This window comes from Homo sapiens, chromosome 11 (assembly GCF_000001405.40).
Source record: "Homo sapiens chromosome 11, GRCh38.p14 Primary Assembly".
Lineage (NCBI taxonomy): Eukaryota > Metazoa > Chordata > Mammalia > Primates > Hominidae > Homo > Homo sapiens.
The window spans coordinates 483,145-507,694 of NC_000011.10; the positions used below are offsets into that span (position 1 = coordinate 483,145).

The window sequence follows — 24,550 nt, forward strand, 5'->3', positions numbered from 1 at the left end:
GTTCTGTGAGTTTTTCGTAGATCTCCCTACCGAGTGGAGAAGGTTCTGTGAGTTTTTCGTAGATCTCCCTACCGAGTGGAGAAGGTTCTGTGAGTTTTTCGTAGATCTCCCTACCGAGTGGAGAAGGTTCTGTGAGTTTTTCGTAGATCTCCCTACCGAGTGGAGAAGGTTCTGTGAGTTTTTCGTAGATCTCCCTACCGAGTGCAGAAAGTTCTGTGAGTTTTTCGTAGATCTCCCTACCGAGTGGAGAAGGTTCTGTGAGTTTTTCGTAGATCTCCCTACTGAGGGGAGAAGGTTCTGTGAGTTTTTCGTAGATCTCCCTTACTGAGTGGAGAAAGTTCTAGTATATTCCTAGTTGGTTGAGTGTTTTTATCATGAAAAGTTGTTAGATTTTTGTTAAATGATTTTTCGCATCAAGTGAGATGATCATATGGGTGTTTTTCCCCCTTTGTTAATATGATGAATTACATTGATTGATTTTCTTATCCTGAACCAACCTTACATTCCTGGGATAAATCCTGCTGGGTCCCAGGGTGTGCCTTTTTACATACTGCTGGACTTGCTTTCCTAGCATTTTATCTAAGATTTTTGCATCCATATTTGTAAGAGGTACTGTCCTTTAATTTTCCTGGAATGTCTTGTTCTGGCTTTGGCACCAGGGTTTGTGAGGATGTCTGACGTTTTCTCAGTATTTGTCTGGGGTGAAGGCGCGCACTGGCACCATCACCATGACGTATCCCTGGCGCTGTGGACCTTGACTGCCTGGCGAGATGTGTCTGTCAGGCTTTCCACTGTCAATCCATAGTGCATTCTCCACAAGGAGGTCACTGGTGCAGCCTGCATGGAGGGAGGGGAGTTTCGTTGCCCCCCTTGGTGTGTGGCGTCTGCACGTTGCCAGGAATTCTTGTGCATGGGAGAGATCCTGCTTCTCTACCATTAGTTATTCCATCATGTATTTATTTATATCAGTGTGGACGTACAGATACTTGTCTTACACTTGCATATTTATTTCAGCGCTGCTCTATTTATCGTGGTGCCCAAATTCTTTTGCCAAAAGGAATTTCCACGTGGTTCCTGTATTGCTTTCACACACCCTCACGGAGTTCTTGGCTTTTCGTTTTGTTTTTCTGAGGACATCCTGACTTCCTAGCACTGCGGGATGCTCCAGGCTCCTCCTGTCCACTCCCCACCCTGGTCCTGGAATCAGCCCCTTCTCCAAGAGCCTTGGGTCCTTACTGAATATTAGGAACTGAGGCCTGGGTGTTGGGTGGGCTGCGTGGTCCTGGGTGCCATAGCTCACAGAGGACGGGCATGTGTGCACTCACTGTGTGTGCAGGCGTCTGTAAACACAGCCAGTGCAGGGGTGCGTGTGTGCTGTGTGCGCAGGAGAGTGTAAACAGTGCACGGGCGCGTGTGTGCTCACTGCGCAGGCATCTGTAAATAGTGCATGGGCGTGTGTGCTCACTGCGCAGGCATCTGTAAACAGTGCATGGGCATGTGTGCTCACTGTGTGCACAGGCGTCTGTAAACTGCACGGGCGTGTGTGCTGTGTGTGTGCAGGCGAGCGTAAACAGTGCACGGATGCGTGTGCTCACCGTGTGCGCAGGCGAGTGTAAGTGCACGGGTGTGTGTGCTGTGCGCAGGCGAGTGTAAACTGCACGGGCGCGTGTGCTCACCGTGTGCGCAGGCGAGTGTAAACAGTGCACGGGTGCGTGTGCTCACTGTGCGCAGGCGTCTGTAAACAGTGCACGGGCGTGTGTGTGCTCACTGCGCAGGCGAGTGTAAACTGCACGGGCGCGTGTGTGCTCACTGTGTGCGCAGGCGAGCGTAAACTGCACGGGCACGTGTGCTCACTGCGCAGGCGAGCGTAAACAGTGCACGGGCGCGTGTGTGCTCACTGTGTGCGCAGGCGAGTGTAAACTGCACGGGCACGTGTGCTTACTGTGCACAGGCGAGTGTAAACAGTGCACGGGCGCGTGTGCTCACTGTGTGCGCAGGCGAGTGTAAGTGCACGGGCGTGTGTGCTCACTGCGCAGGCGAGTGTAAACTGCACAGGCGCGTGTGTGCTCACTGTGCGCAGGCGAGTGTAAACTGCACGGGCGCGTGTGTGCTCACTGCGCAGGCGAGTTTAAACAGTGCACGGGCGCGTGTGTGCTCACTGTGTGCGCAGGCGAGTGTAAGTGCACGAGCGCGTGTGTGCTCACTGCGCAGGCGTCTGTAAACAGTGCATGGGCATGTGTGCTGTGTGTGTGCAGGCGACCGTAAACAGTGCACGGACGCGTGTGTGCTCACCGTGTGCGCAGGCGAGTGTAAACAGTGCACGGGTGTGTGTGCTCACTGTGCAGGCGAGTGTAAACTGCACAGGCGCGTGTGCTCACCGTGTGCGCAGGCGAGTGTAAACAGTGCACGGGCGCGTGTGCTCACCGTGTGCGCAGGCGTGTAAACTGCACGGGCGCGTGTGCTCACTGCGCAGGCGAGTGTAAACAGTGCACGGGCGCGTGTGTGCTCACTGTGCGCAGGCGAGTTTAAACAGCGCACGGGCGCGTGTGTGCTCACTGCGCAGGCGAGTGTAAACTGCACGGGCGCGTGTGCTCACTGCGCAGGCGAGCGTAAACAGTGCACGGGCGCGCGTGTGCTCACCGTGCGCGCAGGCGAGCGTAAACAGTGCACGGGCGCGCGTGTGCTCACCGTGCGCGCAGGCGAGCGTAAACAGTGCACGGGCGCGCGTGTGCTCACCGTGCGCGCAGGCGAGCGTAAACAGTGCACGGGCGCGCGTGTGCTCACCGTGCGCGCAGGCGAGCGTAAACAGTGCACGGGCGCGCGTGTGCTCACCGTGCGCGCAGGCGAGCGTAAGCAGTGCACGGGCGCGCGTGCTCACCGTGTGCGCAGGCGAGTGTAAACAGTGCACGGGCGTGTGTGTTCACCGTGTGCGCAGGCGAGTGTAAACACAGCTGGTGCCCTGGTGCGTGTGTGCTGTGAGCACAGGTGTCTGTAAATGATGTAAACCTCCCTTGACGTCAGGCCCAAAAGCCTGCCTTGCCCTAAGGTCAAGAGGTGTATCTGGCTGATGCCAGCGTCTGGGTGAGGAAAGAGCAGGTTCCACAAGGGCGACTCCTGTGAGGGTGTTGGCCTGAGCGCGCATGCGGGGAGGGGTCGGGGTGGGGGCGGCGCGCCGCAGTAACTCAGGGCCCCATCCCGCTCCCGTCTGTCCAGCGGTCCTAGACCCCCATGTCCTGAAGCGCACCTGTGCCCACCTGGCCCCGGGGAGCGCAGGTGTGGAGATGGGGTGTCGTGCCTGGGGGTTCCTTCCCCACGCGCTGCCCCACCAGGATTTCCCTGGGGTGGGGAGGGCTGCTGAGACAGGGCGCTGCCCTCCTCCAGGGTGACTGAGATGCAGTTTACAACCATGATCTCCTGGCCGGGCGTGGTGGCTCACGGCTGTAATCCCAGCTCTTTGGGAGGCCGAAGTGGGCGGATCACGAGGTCAGGAGATCAAGACCATCCTGGCTAGCACGGTGAAACCCCGTCTCTACTAAAAATACAAAAAAAAAATACTAGCCGGGCGTGGTGGCGGGCGCCTGTAGTCCCAGCTACTCGGGAGGCTGAGGCAGGAGAATGGCGTGAACCCAGGAGGCGGAGCTTGCAGTGAGCCCAGTTCACGCCACTGCATTCCAGCCTGGGCGACAGAGCGAGACTCCATCTCAAAAAAATAAAATAAATAAACAACCATGATCTCCCGTTTCAAGTTGCCACCACTAACTGTAGCCCCGCTGACGGGGGCACTGGCCTTGCAGACTGTCCAGGACGGCCGGCAGTTTCTAAAGTATGTTGACCCCAAGCTGGGAGTCCCACTGCCAGAGAGAGACTACGGGGGAAACTGCCTCATCTACGACCCAGACAATGAGACTGACCCCTTTCACAACATCTGGGTAAGACGCCGGGGGCCCTGAGGCGAGCCCCTCCCCAGGTGTGGCCCCGTGCCGGACCAGGCGCCATCCACGCTCCTGCCTCGCACCCCTCAGCCCACACTTGGGGTCTCCTGGTGCAGAGATGTGCTGAGGCCCTGTCCGTCTGGATGGTGCTCATGGTGGGCAGGGGGCCCCTGCTCTCTAGGCTGTCGTGGACGTGGTCTCCACAGGCCACGGCAGCACCTGTGAGTCCCTGGCCTTCTTCCCGGGGTCTGGCAGGTGCTGCTCAGGTGTGGGCTGATCTGCCGGTGTGGGGAGTGGGGGTGGCTGTGCCCCAGGGTCAAGGGTCATACCCTGTCGCCCACAGGACAAGTTGGATGGCTTTGTTCCCGCGCACTTTCTTGGCTGGTACCTGAAGGTACGGCACCTCCTCTTCCCGGCCTCCCCGCCCCGGTTCTGAGGCCTGCCGTGGGCTCTGGACCGTTTCTGTCCATGGAGTTGAGCTCAGGGTGCTCTGAGTGTGGTGGGAGGGTGTCGCACTGCAGCCACCCAGAGGTTCGAGAAGCCGTGGGGCTCCCGGACCTCCCAGAAGCCCTGATCCTGGTCGGGTCCCCGCTCCGTCCTCAGGGTCGGGGCGGTGGAAAGAGGCGGCAGGGCAGGAAGTCCCGCCCCTGCCTGGGCTTGGGCACTGCCCCATCCCACTTCTGAGGGACCCTGTGCTACCTATGGGGCTAAGAGCAGTGCCTGCTTGACCCTGCAGCCCACCCTGGCAGAGTTTGGTGTCAGGCCCCGGGCACGGGGATGCTGCCTTGTTTGCTGACAGTCGTACATCGAGGCTGCTGGAGGGGCAGCCACCCACCCCACGCTCACCCTGAGACCTCACTGGGGGCCCTGCCAGTGCTGTCGACTCCAAGAATGCTGCCAGCCGGGGTGGGGGCTGCACGCACCCGTGGGCAGGGCCGGGCGTGGCCTGCGTCCCATACTCTGGCTGCCAGCCGGGTGGGGGCTGCACGCACCCGTGGGCAGGGCCGGGCGTGGCCGGCGTCCCATACTCTGGCTGCCAGCCGGGGTGGGGGCTGCACGCACCCGTGGGCAGGGCCGGGTGTGGCCGGCGTCCCATACTCTGGCTGACCCTGGCGCCCACAGACCCTGATGATCCGAGACTGGTGGATGTGCATGATCATCAGCGTGATGTTCGAGTTCCTGGAGTACAGCCTGGAGCACCAGCTGCCCAACTTCAGCGAGTGCTGGTGGGATCACGTAGGTGCCAGCACAGCCCCCGGGGCAGTCGGTGCAGGCTGAGGGGCATTCTCGGAACCCCTGTGCCCAGCGCGGCCCCTGGACCCCCTCATTCTCCCCGGGGGGCAGTGGGTGCAGGCTGAGGGGCATTCTCGGTTCCCCTGTGCTCTTCCGGGGTCCTCCTCGGGGGGCTCGTTACCCCTCACCCCTGCAACGAGTGCTGGCCCCTCCCTGCAGTGGATCATGGACGTGCTCGTCTGCAACGGGCTGGGCATCTACTGCGGCATGAAGACCCTTGAGTGGCTGTCCCTGAAGACGTACAAGTGGCAGGGCCTCTGGAACATTCCGACCTACAAGTACGTCGTGGGGGCTGCGAGGGCAGGGCCGGGTGGGGGTTACCTGGAGGCAGCCTCAGCGTCCGTGCTCCAGCAGACCCCGAGCACCAGGCCCGTCCAGTGTGCGGCTCAGGAGGGGTGACCGTGGGGCTTTGCCTCCTGGAACCTCCCTCTGACCTGGTGTCACTCAAGCCCGGCCGCCCCTCACAGTGGCCATGGCGTCTGACCCACGTACCTCCCTCCTCAATCCCTGGCCGGCCTGGCGCAGGGGCTGTGGGATCATTCCGTGCTTCTCCCTCCCTTGGTTGCTTTGGTTATGAAATAGTTGCAGGTACTTTGTCATTATGACTTTGGAATTTAAAAAAGAAACAGAAGTCTAAGGAAAGGCCTGGGGGACGGGGGTCTCCCCTCCTGCCTGTGGGTGCCCCGGCTCTGCCTGGCTCTGCAGACATGGCTAGCTCACGGCACCGTGGAGCGCCCTCTGAGGCGCTGCAGCCACTGCTCAAGCTGGAAGAGACTGAACAGCAGAGGGCCGTGGAGAAGCAGGGCTTGTAGCTGGGTGGCCAGACCTCGGAGAACAGCCGGGCAGCAGCTGGGTAACCAGGAACAGAGTCTGTGGCCCGATGGCACAGGGCGGGGCGGGGTGACCAAGAGCAGAGCTCGTCCGATGGCACAGGGCGGGGCCGGGTGACCAGGAACAGTCTGTTGCCCGATGGCACAGGGCAGGGTTCGGTGGGCTGCCTTCCTCAGGCTGCCGGCTCTGTGGTTCCCAGGGGCAAGATGAAGAGGATCGCCTTCCAGTTCACGCCGTACAGCTGGGTTCGCTTCGAGTGGAAGCCGGCCTCCAGCCTGCGTCGCTGGCTGGCCGTGTGCGGCATCATCCTGGTGGTAAGGCCGGGCTGCCTCGCGACGGCGCGGCGGGCGGGGGGCCAGAGCTGGTGCTCACCCTCTCCTCCCCTAGTTCCTGTTGGCAGAACTGAACACGTTCTACCTGAAGTTTGTGCTGTGGATGCCCCCGGAGCACTACCTGGTCCTCCTGCGGCTCGTCTTCTTCGTGAACGTGGGTGGCGTGGCCATGCGTGAGATCTACGACTTCATGGATGACCCGTGAGGGCTGCGGCAGTCCGGGTGGAGACACCCCCGGGGGGCAGGGGCCGGAGGGCTGGGGAGCAGAGCCTGGGAGGCCGGAGCCTGGGCAAGTCCGCCTGGAGGACCCTGCGGGGCCCGGGACGCTGAACCCCCTGCTGCCCCTGCAGGAAGCCCCACAAGAAGCTGGGCCCGCAGGCCTGGCTGGTGGCGGCCATCACGGCCACGGAGCTGCTCATCGTGGTGAAGTACGACCCCCACACGCTCACCCTGTCCCTGCCCTTCTACATCTCCCAGTGCTGGACCCTCGGCTCCGTCCTGGCGCTCACCTGGACCGTCTGGCGCTTCTTCCTGCGGTGAGTCAGGGCAGGGCGCGTATGTTCTGAAGGAGGGCCGCTGTCCGGGTCCCTTGGCACAGGCACTGTGGGAGTTTGGTGTCGTTGGTGTCTCACTGTCCCTGCTTCAACCCTCTGGCCGCCTCTGCGGGAGGCGCCTTTCCTGACCCAGCCCTCGGGGCCTTCGCTCTGCACTGACAGATCCAGGCTCCTCAGGGCTCCAGTCTGCCACGGCTGCCGTCCCAGGGCCAGGGTACCCGGCACCCACCCAGTCCATTCCGGACCTCCACAGGGACTAGGTGCCAGCTGTCCATGGGGCCTGCAGTGGGGCTGGTGTGGGGGCAGGTGGTGACGCTGCATCCCGCTCCCCAGGGACATCACATTGAGGTACAAGGAGACCCGGTGGCAGAAGTGGCAGAACAAGGATGACCAGGGCAGCACCGTCGGCAACGGGGACCAGCACCCACTGGGGCTGGACGAAGACCTGCTGGGGCCTGGGGTGGCCGAGGGCGAGGGAGCACCAACTCCAAACTGACCTGGGCCGTGGCTGCCTCGTGAGCCTCCCAGAGCCCAGGCCTCCGTGGCCTCCTCCTGTGTGAGTCCCACCAGGAGCCACGTGCCCGGCCTTGCCCTCAAGGTTTTTTGCTTTTCTCCTGTGCACCTGGCGAGGCTGAAGGCGAGGGGTGGAGGAGGCCCCAGCACAGCCTCATCTCCATGTGTACACGTGTGTACGTGTGTATGCGTGTGTGTACGCGTGTGTACGCGCGTGTGTACACATGCGTGGCCGCCTGTGGTGTGCACGTGTGCTCTGGGCTCCGAGGCTTCTCCAGAGCTGGGAGCTGGCTGGCGTGGCAAGGGCATGCTCTGGGGCAGTGTGTCCCTCAGGAACCAGGGTCCTCCCTCCCCTTTCTGCCTGGTCAGCCCCGTGGCCTCTGGCCCACCAAGCTCCCTGTCACCCAGCCATGGTGTGGTCCAGGCAGGGACATCTCGGTACCCTTTCTGCACTCCGTGGGCCCTGGGTGCGCTGAGGCCTGGAGGCGTCTACACTGGCTCCACATCCACTTCCCCCGCAGCTCGTGTGGGCGCTCGTCCACAAACACTCCGTGGCTGAGAGGCAGCGGATCCAGGCAGCGATGCTGAGCCACCTCCTCCGAGCCTTCCTTTCACACAGACCACCCCGGAGGACACGTGGATGATGGGGTCAGAGATCACTGAGCTGCCCCTCAAGGGGGCCTGGAACCCGGGTGCTGGGGTCATGCTGCCTCCGTGGCTCCAAGGTGAGGGTCATCTTCACGAGCAAAGAGAACCAATAAAGTGACAACGAACGTCTGAGGCTTCCAGCCCTCCCCCCAGCTCCCCGTGTCCTGCTTTGGGGTCCAGTGCAGCCCTCCAGCCTGCCCTCATGCCCAGTGCCCACTTGGGGAAAACCACACAGAGGACAGGAGGCACTCAGCCTCTGCACCTGAGCAAAGACTTGGCGCCTGCCCCGCCCCACCCCCCAGAGAGAGCAGGTGCCAGATGCAGCCCCTCTCCCATTCTCCAGGAGGGTCCAGGTGGCACCCACCCTCTGCTGCGCTTGTCCAAGGGCTGGCGGCCACTGGGCAGTGGACACAGGATTCCTGGGGTACTGTGTTTGTCCCAGGCTGGCAGACACTGGGCAGTGGACACAGGATTCCTGGGGTGCTGTGTTTGTCCCAGGCTGGCAGACACTGGGCAGTGGACACAGGATTCCTGGGGTGCTGTGTTTGTCCCAGGCTGGCAGACACTGGGCAGTGGACACAGGATTCCTGGGGTGCTGTGTTTGTCCCAGGCTGGCAGACACTGGGCAGTGGACACAGGATTCCTGGGGTGCTGTGTTTGTCCCAGGCTGGCAGACACTGGGCAGTGGACACAGGATTCCTGGGGAGGGGCAGCCGCCTTCTCGGGCCACTATTTTTATGTTTTTTTTTCTTTTTCTTTCCTTCCTTTTTGTGGAGAACGGGGTCTCGCTATATTGCCCAGGCAGATCTCGAACTCCTGGGTTCAAGTGATCCTCCTGCCTCTGCCTCCCTGAGAGCTGGGATTACAGGCGTGAGCCACCATGCCCAGCTTGAGCCACTATTTTTTTGAGATGGAGTCTCACTCTGTCAGCCAGGCTGGAGTGCAGTGGCGTGATCTTGGCTCACTGCAACCTCTGCCTCCTAGGTTCAAGTAATTCTGCCTCAGCCTCCCAAGTAGCTGGGATTACAGGCGCATGCCACCATGCCCGGCTAATTTTAGTACTTTTAGTACAGATGGGGTTTCACCATGTTGGCCAGGCTGGTCTTGAACTCCCAACCTCAGGTGATCCACCCGCCTTGGCCTCCCGAAGTGCTGGGATTACAGGCGTGAGCCACCGCGCCCAGCCAGGCCACTATTTCTAAAACTTTACCATGAAAATTTTCAAACACAAATGGAGAGAAAAGGGGTTCCCTGAGCCCTGTTCCTAGCTGGAGGGGGTAGTAAGGGGTGTTGATGGCTGATTGGACACAGCCTGGGGGGACTCCGGGAGCCATTTGCACCCACACCCCCGGGTCTGCCTCGGGGCCCCGGGCGTCAAAAAGCTTTACTTTTAGTATTTTTCCTTGACTACTTTTGGGGAAAATTTCAAGCCCTCTAAGTCAAGGGCTGTAATGTGGAGCACACACAAGAGCAGCCTCTGGGGCTCAGCAGGAAGACGTCCGGTGTGGCCACCGCGCCTAGCAGTCCTCTTTCCAGTCACGGCCACTCACAGCTTTGGCCTCCGTGGCCCTGCACGGATGAGTTCTTCCAGCTGCCCTGCCCTGCGTGCTGCAGGACACATGGGGCCTTAGCATTCTGCTCTTTGCAGGTGGCAGCTTTGATCGCTCAGGAGGAACTGCCACCTGATCTCCCCACTGCAGGGGCCCCCACTCCCCCCCTCACGCGCTGCGGGTCCTGTCACTCCACCCACGCTGTCCATCCCCGCTGATGCTCTGAGCCAGGTGGTAGCAGGTGGGGGTGGCGCCCCGCTCACGGTCTCCATCTGCTCTTCCCGAGGAGGGCGAGGCAGGGCTTGTGATTAAAGTCCTGTGTTCCGGCGCCCGTGTCCCAAAGGCAGCCCCTGGGAGCCCTTCCGGCAGCAACTCAACCCCAGACAGCGCCCAGGGGCTCTGGTTCCTCACGCGCTGAGATGCTCCGGACTCACCTTGGGCATCTCTCGCCCCAGGCCTGGCGTCACCCATTTCCCCAAGGAGCTCTGTTCCCCACTGGAGGTCATAGTTAAGAAACTAAGATCCTGGGTCACTTTATTTTACTTATTTATTTTTGAGACGGAGTCTCACTCTGTCGCCCTGGTTGGAGTACACTGGCGTGAGCTCAGCTCACTGCAACCTCCACCTCCCAGGTTCAAGCGATTCTCATGCCTCAGCCTCCCGAGTACCTGGGATTACAGGCATGCGCCACCATACCCAGCTAATTTTTGTATTTTTAGTATAGATGGGTTTTCACCGTGTTGGCCAGGCTGGTCTCCAACTCCTGACCTCAAGTGATCCGCCCACCTCAGCTTCCCAAAGTGCTGGGATTACAGGCATGAGCCACCGCGCCCAGCCCCTGGGTCACTTTAAAGGGCTTTATAGCCAGGTGCAATGGCTCACACCTGTAATACCCGCACTTTGGGAGGCCAAGACCAAACACCAGCCTCGGCAACATGGCAAGACCCTGTCCCTACAAAAAGTACAAAAATTAGCCAGGTGTGGTGGTGCATGCCTGTAGTCCTAGCTACCTGGGAGGCTGAGGTGGGAGGACGGTTTGAGTCCCAGAGGTCCAGGCTGTAGTGAGCCAAGATTGCGCCACTGCACTCCAGCCTGGGCAAGAGAGAGACCCTGTCCAAAAGAGGGGGATTGCCAGGCAGCTTCTTTGCAATGAACTTGTAGTTGCTGACTCAGCATCGGACCTTTGAAAGCTGGTGAGCGTCCCCCTCTTGGCTTGGCAGGGCAGGGCACCCCGGGCTGGCCCACCTTGGTCAGCTGTCCACCCGTGGGCAAGATGGGCTGCCCCATCATCCCACACAGAGCTGGGGCGAGCACTGGGCTCCGGGCAGGAACCCGGGCCGCGCTGGGCCGCGCTGGGCTGGGCTGGGCTGGGCTGGGCTGGGCTGGGCTGGGCTGGGGGGCAGTCAGGGCAGTGCTGGGGGCTCCTGAGGCTCCGGGGTGGAAGCTGCGGGAGCAGCTGGGCCTGCAGGCAGCTCCCAGCAGGCGTCACCCTGCACGGGCAACAGAGCCAAGGGGCATCCCTCCACCCTGGGCAGGGCCTGCCCTGTGCTCCCCAGTGTGGGTGGGTGCAGCTCAGGGGACCCAGCTGAGCACAGCCAGGGCCTTGGGCTGCTTCCCTGGTGCGGGGTCCCTTAGGCAGGGAGAGAAGCCAAGTGGGGTGGTGTCGTCTCCAATGCCAGCGCCTCGCAAGGACCCCAGGAAGGACAAGAGCCTCTCCTGCCAAGAAAGTGCTTTAATGATTATAAAGTGTCCAAAATATACTGGCAGAAATAAGCGGATCTGAGCGTTTCTCTTCAAACCTAGGATATGCAGGGTGAGAGCATGGCAGGGGCTGGTGGGCCCCAGGGTTGCCTCGAGGCCGGTCGTCCAGGGAGAGCAGCAGCAGGAAGAGCCTCAGGAGATGACCCTCAGGGATGGCTTGTCCTTCTCCAGGGCCTGCAGCCGGTCCTCCATCTCCTCAGACCAGTAAATGTCGTACAGGCTGCACACAGGCCAGAAGGGAGGCATGGGCCCGTGTCCTCCCCCACCCCCGCCTTCCTCCCTGGGCAGCCCTGGCCGCACCACCCGCCCAGCGCGTGCACATACACCAGCTGCTCCAGGAGGCAGCCCGGCTGCCGGACGCTCTCCACCAGCTGCAGGATGCCGGCGTCCCCCAGGCAGTTGTTGCTGAGGTCCAGCTCACGCAGGCTGTGGTTGGCCAACAGGGTTGCGGCGAGGCTGCTGCAGCTGCTGTCACTCACATCGCAGTCGGCCAACCTGGGTGAAGCAGGGCGGGGGTCAGGGTGCCGGGCGTGCCTGGCACCGCACTGACCGGCAGAGCAGGCCTGGGCCTGGGGGGCGCGACGGACACCTGTGCTCGGCAACTCAGGACCCTCAGGTGGGGCCGTCCCCAAGGCTCACCGTCCCTGTGGCCCTGGGCAGGTTCCCCACCACGGACAAGGAAGGCACAGACAAGCGAGGCACAAGCAGCCTCACTCGCCTGAGATCTTCTGCAGGGAGGAGAAAGGACAGGAGAGAGATGTCGTCCACCCAGAGAGCCACACCCACCCCCTTGTCACCTCGACACCGTCTGGCTGCGTGGGCTTCAAAGGAGAAGCCAGCCAGAGACTGAGGAGCAGCTGTGGGGAAACGAGGGTATGGAGGGTACCAAGACAAGAACAGAGTGGACAACAGACTTTAGGCTCCAGAGAGAGACAAGAGAACGGGTCAGACAAAAGAGGATGGGATAGAGAAGACCCAACACCCACTTCCCGGGGTGGAGCCGCCACAGGCCGGACAGCAGGGCCAAGGAGTTGCACTGGACCTCTCCAAGGTGGGGGCCAGGGAAGCTGCAGGACCCCCACCCTGTGAGTGGCTCAGGGGGAACAAGTCTGCAGTGACCAGGACCCAAGGTTCCTCTCCACATCTGGAACACCCACAAGGTCCTGGCAGCCAGGATGGTGTCCCCTGGCAGGGAACTGAAAATCCCCCATCAGGAGGAAGCCCTCGAGAAACGCAGCCATGACTCGGCCTGCAGGGCTCACTGTCCAGGGCTCCCGGGCCTCACTCTGCACCTGGTGCCCAGCCCAGGATGACCAGCCACCCACGGAAAGCCCCTGGCGAGAGGCACACGGGAAACAGCAAACAAAAGACAAAACACTGAGGGTGGAAATTCAGTAGACTGGCTGGTAAATGAGAACATCTCCCAAAAATAAAACAAAACATCGAAAAGAAAATTTGGAGAACATAATTAGAGGGTCACTCCACAAGACATCAGGACAGGCTCATGGGCACACCAAAAAAGAAACATAAGAAAGGAGAGAGAAAAAAATCACCAAAGGTATATTTTCTTAGTAGAACCAAGTATCCAGCACAAAGAACCAAGACCCCCATCAAGGCCAAGCACATGGAACCCCTAACACAGTGAACAAAGAGAGCTTGAAAAGCTGCCAACGAGAAAAAGCAGATCGTGCACACAAGGTCACAGTGGCTCACGCCTGTAATCGCAGCACTTTGGGAGGCTGAGGCAGGCTCATCACTTGAGGTCAATAGTTCAAGACCAGCCTGCCCAACATGGTGAAACCCCATCTCTACTAAAAATACAAAAATTAGGCCAGGCGTGGTGGCTCACGCCTGTAATCCCAGCAATTTAGGAGGCCGAGGCAGGCGGATCACGAGGTCAGGATATCAAGACCATACTGGCTAACACGGTGAAACCCCATCTCTACTAAAAGTACAAAAAATTAGCCTGGTGTGGTGACGGGCGCCTGTGGTCCCAGCTACTCGGGAGGTTGAGACAGGAGAATGGCATGAACTTGGGAGGCGGAGCTTGCAGTGAGCCAAGATCGCACCACTGCACTCCAGCCTGGGCGACAGAGCAAGACTCTCTCAAAAAAACAAACAAAATAAAATTAGCCGGGCATAATGGTGCATGCTATACCCGGCTAAATGATCCAAGGACAGAACAGGGGCACAAGACCCCAAAAATTACCTCCTGCAAAACCTTTTCTTAGAAAGCTGCAAAAGAACGTGCTTTAACAAAGAAAACAAATCTGGAAAAACATCCTGACACAGGCGGGGTTCCCGCAAGGGAGAAAGGTGGGCGGGGCTTCCAGGAAGATGGACCACAGGGTGGCCAGGTAGGCTGGAGCTCCGTGAAGCTCTCAGGCTTCATGAAACATGACCTCTGACTTTCAGAGTTAAAATGAGAACTAAGCCAGAGTGGTGCCGCCAGCCCGCCTTTCCCAGTACATGAACATGCACCCTCACTCTCGCCCATGTGCTCACACTCACATGGACACTCGTGCTCACTCTCGCCCATGTGCCACACTCACGTGCTCACTCGCCCATGTGCTCACACTCACATGGACACTCATGCTCACTCTCACCCATGTGCTCACACACGGACACTCGTGCTCACTCTCACCCATGTGCTCACGTACTCTCGCCCATGTGCTCACACACGGACACTCATGCTCACTCTCGCCCATGTGCTCACACACGGACACTCGTGCTCATTCTTGCCCATGTGCTCACACACGGACCCTCGTGCTCACTCTCACGTGCTCACACACGGACACTCATGCTCACTCACCCATGTGCTCACACTCGGACACTCGTGCTCTCACCCATGTGCTCACACACGGACACTCATGCTCTCTCGCCCATGTGCTCACACACACTCGTGCTCCCTCTCGCCCATGTGCTCACACTCACACGGACACTCGTGCTCATTCTTGCCCATGTGCTCACACACGGACCCTCGTGCTCACTCTCACGTGCTCACACACGGACACGTGCTCATTCTTGCCCATGTGCTCACACACTGACCCTCGTGCTCACTCTCACGTGCTCACACACGGACACTCGTGCTCTCACCCATGTGCTCACACACACGTGCTCACCCATGTGCTCACACACGGACACTCGTGCTCATTCTTGCCCATGTGCTCACACACGGACCCTCGTGCTCACTCACGTGCTCACACGGACACGTGCTCACTCTCACATGCTCACGGACACCCATGCTCACACTCATATGCTCACACACGTGCTCACACTCGCCTCACCCATGTGTGCTCACATACACACGGACACTCGTGCTCACACAGATACTCGTGCACTCTCGCCCTTGTGTGCACACACGGGCATATGATCTCCCAAATGTGCATACTCGTGTCCCTCACACACTCACCAGAGCACCCGCAGCACAGAGCCAGGCTGGCCCAGGCCCTGGCACAGCTCCCGCACGCCCGCATCCTCCAGCCTGTTGTTGCTTATCTGTAGCTCCAGGAGAAACCTGTTCTGGGCCAGCACTGAGCTGAAGTGGGAGCAGCAGGCGGCTGTGAAGCTGCAGGACTTCACCCTGTGGACACAGACAGGACTGACGCCTGGCAGGGGCCCAGGCTGGCCCACAGCTGCGACTGGCCCTTCCCCTGAAGGCCCCACGTGGACCTGAGCAAAAACATCTGACAGCCTCCCAGCAAGTGGGCACCTACACCTGGTCCTTGGCCCCAAGCACTGTTCCCATCAAACCACAGGCTGCTCCCTGGCCTATGCATTCTGAAGGTCGGAGCTGAGCCCAGCAGCTTCCCTGGAGTCGCTCACTCCTCCCCTGGTCTCCTCGGTCACCCTGGCCCTCTCTTGGGCGACAGGGCCCTGCCCCGACAGCCACACTCACCACAGCGACTCCAGCTGGCAGCCAGGTTCCAGCAGGGTCTCACACAGCAGTCGGGCACCCTCATCCCCCAGCTCGTTGCCGGCCAGGCTGAGCTCCTTCAGGCTCTCCTTGGCCCTGAGGACACGGCACAGATCCCCGCAGCCCTTGGCAGTGATGCCACACTCCCAGATCCTGCAGGACATGGACCACCACAGACTTTCCTCAGCACCGTCTCATGGCCTGAGATGAGCCCAGGGGCGGGGGAGAGCTCTGAGGACGGCCCGCCGCCCGACCCTCCGGGAAGGAGGCCTCGCGGAGATGACTCACCACAGGGTCCTGAGCCTGGAGCTGGGGTGGAGCAGCCCTGGGCACAGCTCCGCCATGCCCACATCACCCAGCTTGTTGCTGCCCAGGGCCAGCTCCCGCAGCGAGGCCTTGGAGGCCACAATGCCGCACAGGTCCCGGCAGTTGTCTGATGTCACACCGCAGCTCTCCAGCCTGGGGACACGGGTCACACGTGAGGCAGCACGGGACCCCCCCTAGCCCACACCCCGCACCCCCCCAAGGCCCAGTGCCTACTTGAGCGCCTCCAGCTGGCAGGGGGAGTCCTTCAGGCCCTGGCACAGCACACGGACGCCAGCCTCATTGATGTCGTTGTTGCTAACCGTGAGCTCCTTGAAGTCCGGCTTGGCCCTGAGCACGGAGGCCAGGGGCTCGCAGCTGGCAGCCGAGAGGCTGCAATACTCCAGCCTGGGGGACAGCAGAGCTCAGCACCACACAGGAATGTGCACCAGCCAAGGGTGTGATACCAGGGAGCACGGGGTGTGCTGGTGTCTCATCTCCCCTCAGTCTTCTGCCTGGGCATCAGGTGTCAGTGCTGAGGGACCCCCACAGACTCATCCAGAGGCCCGGGCCTCTGTGGACACCGGCATTCCTTCTGGAAACCCCTCACCCCCTCCCGGACCTCAGACTTTGGGGCCCAACCAGGCCCGGGAGAAAGAAACCAGCCTCTGGAGGGCAGGGCCACCTGCACGTCCCAGGCTGTGGTCAACTCACAATGGCCGGGTCCCCCACACACACTGAGGCGGTGAGTGGAACCTGACTCACGGCCAGGCATCTGTTCCCACCGTCGGGTCCTGGGGCAGCTGTGCCTTGCAAAGGACAACTGGATGGGGAGGGAGGGTGATGACAGATCCCCCCAGCCCCAGCATCATGGGGAGAGGAGAGCACCACAAGGCCCCAGACCCAGCATCATGGGGAAAGGAGAGCACCACAAGGCCCCTGTGACCTGAGTCCCCTCCTCACGGCTCCTGGCAGGCGATGTTCTATGTAGGGGGCTGGCTGGGGGACAGGCAGCGGCCAGCATGGGCCCTGGGGCAGGACACAAACTCACTGCAGCTTTTCCAGGCGGCACTGGGGGTCCAGGAGTCCTTCGCAGAGCAGCTGCAGGCCCGCATCCCCCAAGAGGTTGTCGCTGAGGTGCAGCTCCTGCAGGGTGGGCAGGGTGCGTAGTGTGCTGGACAGGACCCCGCAGCCGGCCCCCGTCAGGCAGCAGTTCTGGAGGCTGGAGCATACCTGGCTGTCAGCAGGGCTCCCCTGAGCCAAGCTGCCACGCCCTTCGCCTGCCAGAGCCCAGAGCCCGGAGCAGCACTCTTCAGGCGGCAGGTCTATACCTGCTCCTTCCCTGGACGGGGCTCTGGGGTCTGGGGTCTCCAGGCCGAGTGAAGGAGGGCACGCATGTGGCTCGACCCAGGGAAACCTTGTCTGCAGACACACCTTTCAGTGGGGGTCTGTGGTGATGCTGGAAGGCTAGGGATGGCGGGCAGGGCCAGATCTTGGGTGCGGGGGCTGGGATAAGGCAGGAAGGGCCCTGTCCCCCCCGCTGTGAGACCGCCAGGCCTGTGTGCCTCTGGCTGATGTTGGAAATGTCTGCTGCCACTGCCTGTCCACCTGCAGCTGCCCACGCGCCCCTGGCGGCTCTGTCCCCTGCTGCCGGGCTACCAAAGCAGACTGCACCAGGCCAGAGGCAGTGCCAGGCCCCGCCTCACCTCAGCTTCTGGATCTTGCAGGAGGGGGTCTGCAGGCCCTGGAGCACGCAATGCACGCCGACATCGCCCAGCTCGTTGCTGCGCAGGTTGAGCTCTGCCAGTGCAGGGTTGACTCGAAGTGCAGAGCTGATGTCCTTGCACCGTGCTTCCGTGAGGCCACAGTCGTCCAGCCTGTGAGCAGACCCCAGGGTCATGTGGACCACGCAGACAGCACTGGCCTCAGCCTCCACCACCACCCCACGTGCAGGTTACAACCTATCAGTGGGCCCAGAAGACAGCAAGGCAAGTCACACAAGACATTTCAGAAATGAAACAAAAAGGAGGAACTGTTCCATGAAAGTTTTGTTTAAGATGCTCGCACGTGGCCAGGCGCGGTGGCTCACGCCTGTAATCCCAGCACTTTGGGAGGCCGAGGCAGGCAGATCACCTGAGGTCGGGAGTTCAAGACCAACCTGACCAACATGGAGAAACCCCGTCTTTACTAAAAATACAAAAGTAGCCGGGCGTGGTGGCGCATGCCCATAATCCCAGCTACTCGGGAGGCTGAGGCAGGAGGATCACTTGAGCCCAGGAGGTTGAGGCCGCATAAGCCATGAGGGAGCCACTCCAGCCTGGGTGACAGAGCAATGCCCTGTCTCTAAAAATAAAAAGAATTTAAAGTATCTCTCGAAGGCACTGATCAGTCACAGGAGGAAAGGCAGTGGCGTCACAGTGGAGAGGGTGGCAGACGGCGCCTGTGACAGGACGCTCCTGGCAGGCCCCACGGCATCTCCCTGCATTCCTGCCAAAACTGTAGGACTTCAACCACAAGAAACCACCAGACAAGCCCCAACAGAGGACGTCCTGCAGGAGCCTGGCCAGACCCTCAGACCACCAAGAACCCAGAGAGACGAGGGGACAGTCACAGACGGGAGAGGGCTAAGGAGACAGAGGGCTGAGGGCCACGCAATCCTGGACCAGTGAGGAAGACGAAAAGGGCAGGGCGGAAAAGCAGACCCTGCCTGGAGGTGCTGGGCCAGAGCTAGCGTCCGCAGGTACACAGGACCACCTCACCAGGGAGCCCCGTCCGGTCCTCGTAACTCCTCCGCAAACCTGACACTACTTGAAATCACCAGGTAAAAAGAGAAAAGATGCGGCCCACCCAGGCACTCGTGTCCTGCTTGTGAAGCTGCTGGGTTTGTGAGGACCTCGAGGGCCGAGGACTCCCAGCCCCCAGCTTGGCAGGGACAAGCAGCGCCCCATGGAGGCTCACGGAGGGGACCCAAGCTGTGTCCTGCCCTCGTGTCTCCAAGGGAGGGAGAGGAGCTGAGACACCGGAGCCAGAGACCCACTGGCCAGTGGCCGCCCACCTCGGCCCGCCCACCTCAGCCCATGCTGCATGAGCCTGGAATGGGTTTTACATTCCTAAATTGTCAAAAAGAAACACAAGAATCACATCTCATGCACGTGGTAGCTGCACAGAATTCATACTTCATGTCCACAAACAAGGCGTTCCAGAGCAATGCACCCTTCAGAGGGAGCCGCCACCCGCCAGCCTGCCCCACCAGCACCCCAAGGCCACCCCGAGAGCAAGCGTACCTGACCACTTGGCACTGCTGGAGCAGAGGGAGGAGCTCGGCCCATCTAGCGTCGCTCAGCTCCTCACACTGGATGTCCAGGCTCTGGATGTCCAGGCTCATGGTGGAGGTGAAGAGTGGCCTGGGTGGGAGGCAGAGGGAAGAGGACGTCTTGGCCGAATCCCCTCACAGTTTCACAGGCCGGAGATTCTGCAAACAGGACCCACAGGGCTGATGTTTCAGGAGGAGCCGCAGCCTCTCCCTGGGCAAACACTTCCTCTTCAGCACCCTCCCCACCTTTGTCTCTGGAGCAGACATCAGGGGTGGGGCAGGGGGCAGGGACCAGCACCCACCCCCAGAAAGGCCACCATGGGCAGCAGAGCTTGGGTAATGCAGATGCCAGCCCATCTCCTGGCTATCACCACCCAGCCTCTGTGGGCACCTCCTCCTGCCCCACAGAGGGCGGGACAGCAGCAGCCCGGGAAGCCCCTGCCTCTCATTTGCTTGGGCAAGGACAGGGTAGGGTGGGGTGGTCTGTGAGCCTGGAGGCCCCAGCAGGGGAGCAAGGGGGTCTGTGGGCTTGACCTGTGTCTCACCCTCAGGACAGGCAGACTGTGCGGGCCAGGCAGGCTGCCCACAAAGCCAGAGACCTCCCAGGATGCCAGGATCCTGGACCCGGCCACAGTGTCCGAAGCAAGACAGAGCAGGGGGGCGGCCACTTGGGGTGTCAGCTTCCATGGCCCCCTTCTGGGGTTGGGGACTCTGCACCAGGCTACAGCACATCCCCTGCCCCACGGCACACTAGCCCAGAGGCTGGGCTACCAGGCAAGCTGGGTGGGTCAGCCTGGGATGGGCACAGCTGCTACACCCTGAAGCCTCCCCAGGCACAGGCCCTGAATATGGAAGGAGGTTCCTGAGGCCCTGAGAGCACAGCTCAGGTACCCGCCAGGGGCCTGGGGAAAGTGGTCAGGCAGAGACAGCCACCCCAAACCTTGGTTGGTGGATACATTCCCTGAGCACCTGCCAAGCACTGGCCTGGGGACTACAGCAGGGCAGGAACCTGGAGAGGAGGCTTGGATGGCCAGGAAGGCTCCCTGGAAGCAGCAGCACTGATGCCACAATGCGGGGAGGGGTGGGTGGGGTGGGGAGAGGGCTCTCATCCAGAAGCCCCAGAAAGTTGGCAGGATCCACTTGGGGAAATGATGCAACCCCAGCTGCCCTTCAGAAAGACGGCCAACAGGACCGCTTGAGAGGCTCCTGGTGCCCTGACACCCCCAGCTTCCTGAGTCTGTGTGCCTGGCACTCCTCTCCCCGGGGCTGCTTCAGAGGCGGCTGGTCCACTCTGCATGAGTGGAGGCAAGAGGCCCCTGGTACCAACTGGGAGGAAAGACGCAAGGCTGGGCTCGGGTCCACACGCCTGGGCGCCCGGCCTGCAAGGACAGTGGCAAAGGGTGGTGACATCCCACGGCCCCACATGGAGGAACTGAATCCAACCGACCCGAAGCACGTGAGCAAAACCGACCAGGGTGTGGTCACCCAAATTCTGACTCCAGAATCTAGTCATCAGGAGGCACTGTGGGCGGGAGGGCGGGTGGAAGGAGAGCCTCAGGGGGCTGCCCAGGGTGCACACGCTCCCCAAATCCAGCCTGACACTCCTGTGTCCTCTGCAGCCAGATGAAAGGTGGCCCCAGGGTGTCCTCCTCCTGGGAAAGCTTGGTGGGAGCTCAGGGTGGCCAGTGCTCCCGTGACCATCTGCAACTAGCGCTGCGGGAGTAGCCCCGTCCCTACCCCTCAGGCTTGGCCAGACCCTGTTGTATCCCAGAAAGGCCCTTCTGAATCTCTGTGGGTCACGGATCCCACTGAGGACCCCATGAAAATGCGGGAGTAAACGCCCTTCTCTGTGACTGGAGAAGTCCCTGGCTCCCTACACAGCCAAAGCTAAAAGCACATTCAGGAACCCACTACCACCAGCTGGCAGCCTGCTTTGGTTGAGGCAGGGATCTGAACAGAGGCCCTAACGGTCCCTTATCCGGAGACCAGACTTTCTCAACCTTACGGAGGGAGGTCTCCGCAGCACCCAAGGCCTGGGCCCCACCCTGGGGAGCCACATGGGAGGGGCCGTCTGGAGGCCAATTCAGGTCCTTATGTTCCGACGTGACGGGGGCGCGGGGCCACCCTCTAGGGAGACACGGGCCACGCTCAGGCGACGCGCAAAAGTTCCCGGTCCCTGGGACCCCCGCCCGCGCCCGCGTCGAGTCCCTCGAACCTGCTAGTTCTGGACACCCTGCTGCAGACTAAAGGGCTGGGAGGAAACCTCACAAAAACACGAAGGGGGTCTCCCCTGCCTCTCTGCCCCCGCCCGCGCCCGCTCCGCCCGGGACGCTCACCCGACGCCGCCGCCGCAGACCCAAGGCCAGAGCCGCTCCGCGTTCCTTCCGCCCAGGCGGGGGCGGGCGGAGCCTCCAGGCCGGGGCTGGCGGGGAGTCCACCCTGGGGGCCGCGCCCGCTAGTCGTCGCCCACTCGACCCTCTGGGCTCAGCCCCCGGGCCTCGTCCCAGCTACTACCCCAGCTTTCCCACTCCCCCCTGGGTCGGGGGTGAAGCCTGACGTCCGCATCCCGTTTCCCACTCTGGCCCCAACCAGCCTTTCCACCGTACAGCCGCCTTCCCCCAGACCATCCCTCCAGCTCTGGCAGCTCCCACCACCCTCGAGGGACCGGCCCCTGCCTCCTCCCACAAGCAGGCCGGATTCCAGGAATTGCCCAAACAATAAAATAAAGCAAACCTGAGACACCCCTTTTTGCTACCAGACTGGAGAAGGTGGAACAGGTTGACGATGATTTGTTGTAGCTGAGGCGAACGGGGCGAGGCTGTGAGGACGGGTTTTGGAGCGCCGCTCGGCCGTCCTCAAAACTTTGGACACACCCTCCGTTTCTGTCAGTCAAGAGTTCTTCATGCCTGAGCTCGGGAAGCATGTTCAAAATCTTTTTTTTTTTGTTTGGTCCCGCCTTTCTGGACCAAACCAATGGATATCTTAAATGTATTTCATTAATGCCTCATGTCTCTCTAAAACATGTAAAACCAAACTGCCCCAACCACCTTGGGCACATGTTCCCAGGATCCCCTGAGGGCTGTGTCACCGGCCGCGGTCACTCATATTCGATTCAGAATAAATCCCTTCAAATATTTTACATTTTAACTATTCTTATCGACAGTACATTTTTTAAAATAAGAATGGCCCTGAAAGATGTCCACCTCCTAATCTCCAAACCTGTGGTGTTACCTTAAGTGGCAAAAGGGACTTTGCAAATATTAAGAATATTGAGATGTGAAGGCTACCCTGGGGTGTCTGGGCGGCCGGCATATAATCATGAGAGTTCTTATGCAGAGACAGTAGGTTTTGAAGATGGAAGAAGGTGGCCTCTAGAAGTTGGAAGAGGAAAAGAAGCAGATTCTCCTTGGGAAACTCCAGAAGGAACTACCCTTGCCAACACCTTGATTTTAACCTCCTAAAACTCACTTCGGGCTTCTGAGCTCCAGGCCTATAAAACAGCCTGTGACAAATTCGTTATAGCAGGGATGAGAAAATAGCTCACTGCAGCCTCCTCTTCCAGGGCTCAAGTGCTCCTCCTCCCTCAGCGTCCCAAGTAGCTGGGACTACAAGCGTTCACTACCGCAACTGGCTAATTTTTTCTATCTTTTGTAGAGACGGGGGTCTCACTATTTTGGCCAAACTCAGTATGTTGGTCGCAAACTCCTGGGCTCAAGAGATCCGCCCGCCTCGGCCTCCCAAAGTGCTGGGATTACAGGCTGCAGCGCACCCAGCCTAATGTAACTTTTTTTTTTTTTTTTTTTTTTTGAGAAGGAGTTTCGCTCTTGTCAGCCGGCTGGAGTGCAGTGGCACGATCTCGGCTCACCGCAACCTCCGCCTCCTGAGTTCAAGCCATTCTCCTACCTCAACCTCCCAAGTAGCTGGGATTATAGGCGCCTGCCACCACGCCCGGCTAATTTTGTATTTTTAGTAGAGACGGGTTTTCACCATGTTGGCCAGGCTGTTCTCGAACTCCTGACCTCAGGTGATCCGCCTGCCTCTGACTGCCCGGCCCAGTGTAACTGTTAACGGCAACATCGTGTGCAGTCTCCGGCTTGCATTCGGTTTAGTCAGCCAATCGCTAAGACGACACTTGAGACCGTTTTCAGATCTTTAGGCTTTCCACCATCCTAGAAGGGGGCCTGCCTGGTTCTAAGGCCCTTCTGAAACACTGCCAAACTGTCCTCGGGAAACGGTGCAGAAGTCCTCTGGTTTCCCCCAAGGCGCGTGGGCACCTTGGCTGGAACCTCGCCCAGTAACACGACGTGCCTGGGGCCCCTTCGTCATTTCCGCCAACCCCGGTGACAACCCTGACACCGGCCCCTAAGTGCCATTCCAGTTATGTTGCTCTCCTCCCCGCAGCCCCAGGCGGCAGCTTCGCGGCCCGGCGTCCGGTCCCCCGGTGGTCCCGGAGCGAAGCTCCGCAATGGAGAGCGGAGGACCCTCCCTCCCCGACCTCGCACGACCAAGACCGCCCACCTTTCCCCCAACGCCCGGCTGTGGGAGCCGTTCGAGTCTTCTCCGCCAGGGCGCTCCTTCCCGGGAGGCCGCTTCTTTGGGGGAATAAGGTCAAGGATTACGGGATTTGGGGAAGCAAGCTCGGCTGGGCCAGGATTGCTTGCGTAGCTCGCTGGAATCTAAGGCACTAGAGGGCTTGACGGCCACGTGAGGACGAACCACGCAGGCGCAGCCCCGCGCCCCGGGCAAGGACTTCCGGCAAGCCCCAAAGGGGAGCGTGCACCGCGATGACGTCCTCAAGGCGCGCCACGTCCGCCCGGCGGCGCAGCTGCCCAGCGCAACCTCGGCCCCGCCTCGATAGCCCCGGACCCCTGCCCCGCCCGACCCCGCCCCGCCACGGGAGCGCGCCACTCGCCCGCGCAGCAACGGCCTCAATAGCGCCAGGCCCGCGTCTACAAGAAGCCCGACCAAGGCCGGCGTGGGCGAGGCCTGGCTAGACGCTGACGCACCGCTGGAGCTACTGACCTCGGGACGACTGGCGGACGGTCGCGGGCCTGGAGACCCAGAGCGAGACGGCCTACTTCGTTCTCGAGCCAGCAGAACGGGTTGAACGTGTCGACAACCCCACCCGCCAGTCAGCGGCGCGGGCGTGTTCGAGCCGGCTCGTGGGCGTGGTCAGGTGCGTGGGCGGGGACTACTGGGCGGGGCTCGGCGCGGGGGCGGGGCCTGGCGGGAGTAGTCTCGGGGTCGGGGCGGGGCCCGGCGGGCGGGGCTCGGCTAAGCACAGTCTTGGCGCAGCGGCGGGGCCTGGTGGGGCGTGGCTCGGTGAGGGAGGTCTCGCTTGGGGGCGTGGTCTCCCCCAGTAGGCGGGGCTTGGTGCCGGGGGCGGGGTCTGGCGGGCGCGGGCGCGTGTGCGTGTTGTGGGCCTCGCACTGGCACGCAAGTCTCAGCAATTCCTGAGAATCCTCGGAGGAAGAGGCCGGGGCCCGGTGCGGCAGCGCCTTGGGGGCGGAATCGCAGGCGCGGGTCGGGCCTTGCTGGGGCGCGGGGCGCGGCCCCCGGAGAAAGCGGCCGCCTCGGGACAGGAGGGACCCGGGAGAAACCCCC

The 24,550-nt window shown here is 61.0% G+C and overlaps 3 protein-coding genes across 26 annotated transcripts in view, besides 5 other annotated features; 2 read left to right on the top strand and 1 right to left on the bottom strand.

Annotated features, from left to right (window-relative positions):
• Positions 1–8,255, top strand: part of PTDSS2 (phosphatidylserine synthase 2) — a 43,132-nt gene extending 34,877 nt beyond the window's left edge. For 4 of the 11 annotated variants that reach the window (XM_047427642.1, XM_024448699.2, NM_001329544.2 and 1 more), the window contains 8 exons: positions 3,747–3,929; positions 4,276–4,326; positions 5,055–5,168; positions 5,385–5,503; positions 6,256–6,370; positions 6,444–6,589; positions 6,739–6,924; positions 7,276–8,255. In XM_047427642.1, the coding sequence (XP_047283598.1) occupies positions 3,747–3,929; positions 4,276–4,326; positions 5,055–5,168; positions 5,385–5,503; positions 6,256–6,370; positions 6,444–6,589; positions 6,739–6,924; positions 7,276–7,438 (1,077 nt within the window). In that variant the 3' untranslated portion in view covers positions 7,439–8,255. The remainder of the gene's footprint in view (positions 1–3,746; positions 3,930–4,275; positions 4,327–5,054; positions 5,169–5,384; positions 5,504–6,255; positions 6,371–6,443; positions 6,590–6,738; positions 6,925–7,275) is intronic. The other 7 variants (NM_001329548.2, NM_030783.3, NM_001329545.2 and 4 more) reach the window with 3 other exon arrangements.
• Positions 1,193–1,714: an enhancer, noted in NCBI's record as "H3K27ac-H3K4me1 hESC enhancer chr11:484337-484858 (GRCh37/hg19 assembly coordinates)". NCBI's record gives its function as "activates a minimal SCP1, AML or CMV promoter by ChIP-STARR-seq in primed H9 embryonic stem cells {active_cell/tissue: H9 hESC(primed)}" and the evidence as "EXISTENCE:reporter gene assay evidence [ECO:0000049][PMID:30033119]".
• Positions 4,724–4,864: a silencer, noted in NCBI's record as "fragment chr11:487868-488008 (GRCh37/hg19 assembly coordinates)". NCBI's record gives its function as "represses an EF-1alpha promoter that drives an FKBP-Casp9 reporter gene in an ReSE screen in HepG2 liver carcinoma cells {active_cell/tissue: HepG2}" and the evidence as "EXISTENCE:reporter gene assay evidence [ECO:0000049][PMID:32094911]".
• Positions 9,612–9,812: a silencer, noted in NCBI's record as "peak1145 fragment used in MPRA reporter construct". NCBI's record gives its function as "represses an SCP1 promoter by STARR-seq MPRAs in K562 erythroleukemia cells {active_cell/tissue: K562}" and the evidence as "EXISTENCE:reporter gene assay evidence [ECO:0000049][PMID:32103011]".
• On the bottom strand, positions 11,371–24,098 carry RNH1 (ribonuclease/angiogenin inhibitor 1). 14 transcript variants are annotated; one of them, NM_203386.3, is made up of 11 exons: positions 23,969–24,098; positions 21,680–21,852; positions 18,918–19,037; positions 17,340–17,510; positions 16,685–16,855; positions 15,871–16,041; positions 15,619–15,789; positions 15,313–15,483; positions 14,827–14,997; positions 11,739–11,909; positions 11,371–11,634 (listed from the first exon to the last, which is right to left on the bottom strand). In NM_203386.3, the coding sequence occupies exons 3-11, from the start codon at positions 19,016–19,018 to the stop codon at positions 11,547–11,549; spliced, it is 1,386 nt and encodes a 461-aa protein (NP_976320.1). In that variant the 5' UTR covers positions 19,019–19,037; positions 21,680–21,852; positions 23,969–24,098; the 3' UTR covers positions 11,371–11,546. The 14 variants fall into 14 exon arrangements, with proteins under 14 accessions (NP_976320.1, NP_976321.1, XP_011518562.1 ...); NM_203387.3 differs by having other exon boundaries at positions 18,918–19,105; XM_011520260.3 differs by having other exon boundaries at positions 21,680–21,857.
• Positions 23,318–24,550, top strand: part of LRRC56 (leucine rich repeat containing 56) — a 48,451-nt gene continuing 47,218 nt past the window's right edge. The window contains exon 1 of the mRNA XM_047426336.1: positions 23,318–24,122. The gene's annotated coding sequence lies outside the window, so the exon portion shown is untranslated. The remainder of the gene's footprint in view (positions 24,123–24,550) is intronic.
• Positions 23,367–23,536: an enhancer, noted in NCBI's record as "experimental_21531 CRE fragment used in MPRA reporter constructs". NCBI's record gives its function as "activates a minimal promoter by MPRAs in K562 erythroleukemia cells, with activity observed for both the introgressed and non-introgressed 11:506596 or rs61877760 variant alleles {active_cell/tissue: K562}" and the evidence as "EXISTENCE:reporter gene assay evidence [ECO:0000049][PMID:34662402]".
• Position 23,452: a transcriptional cis regulatory region, noted in NCBI's record as "Neanderthal adaptively introgressed variant 11:506596 (GRCh37/hg19 assembly coordinates) or rs61877760 in the experimental_21531 CRE". NCBI's record gives its function as "modulates activity of the experimental_21531 enhancer by MPRAs in K562 erythroleukemia cells {active_cell/tissue: K562}" and the evidence as "EXISTENCE:reporter gene assay evidence [ECO:0000049][PMID:34662402]".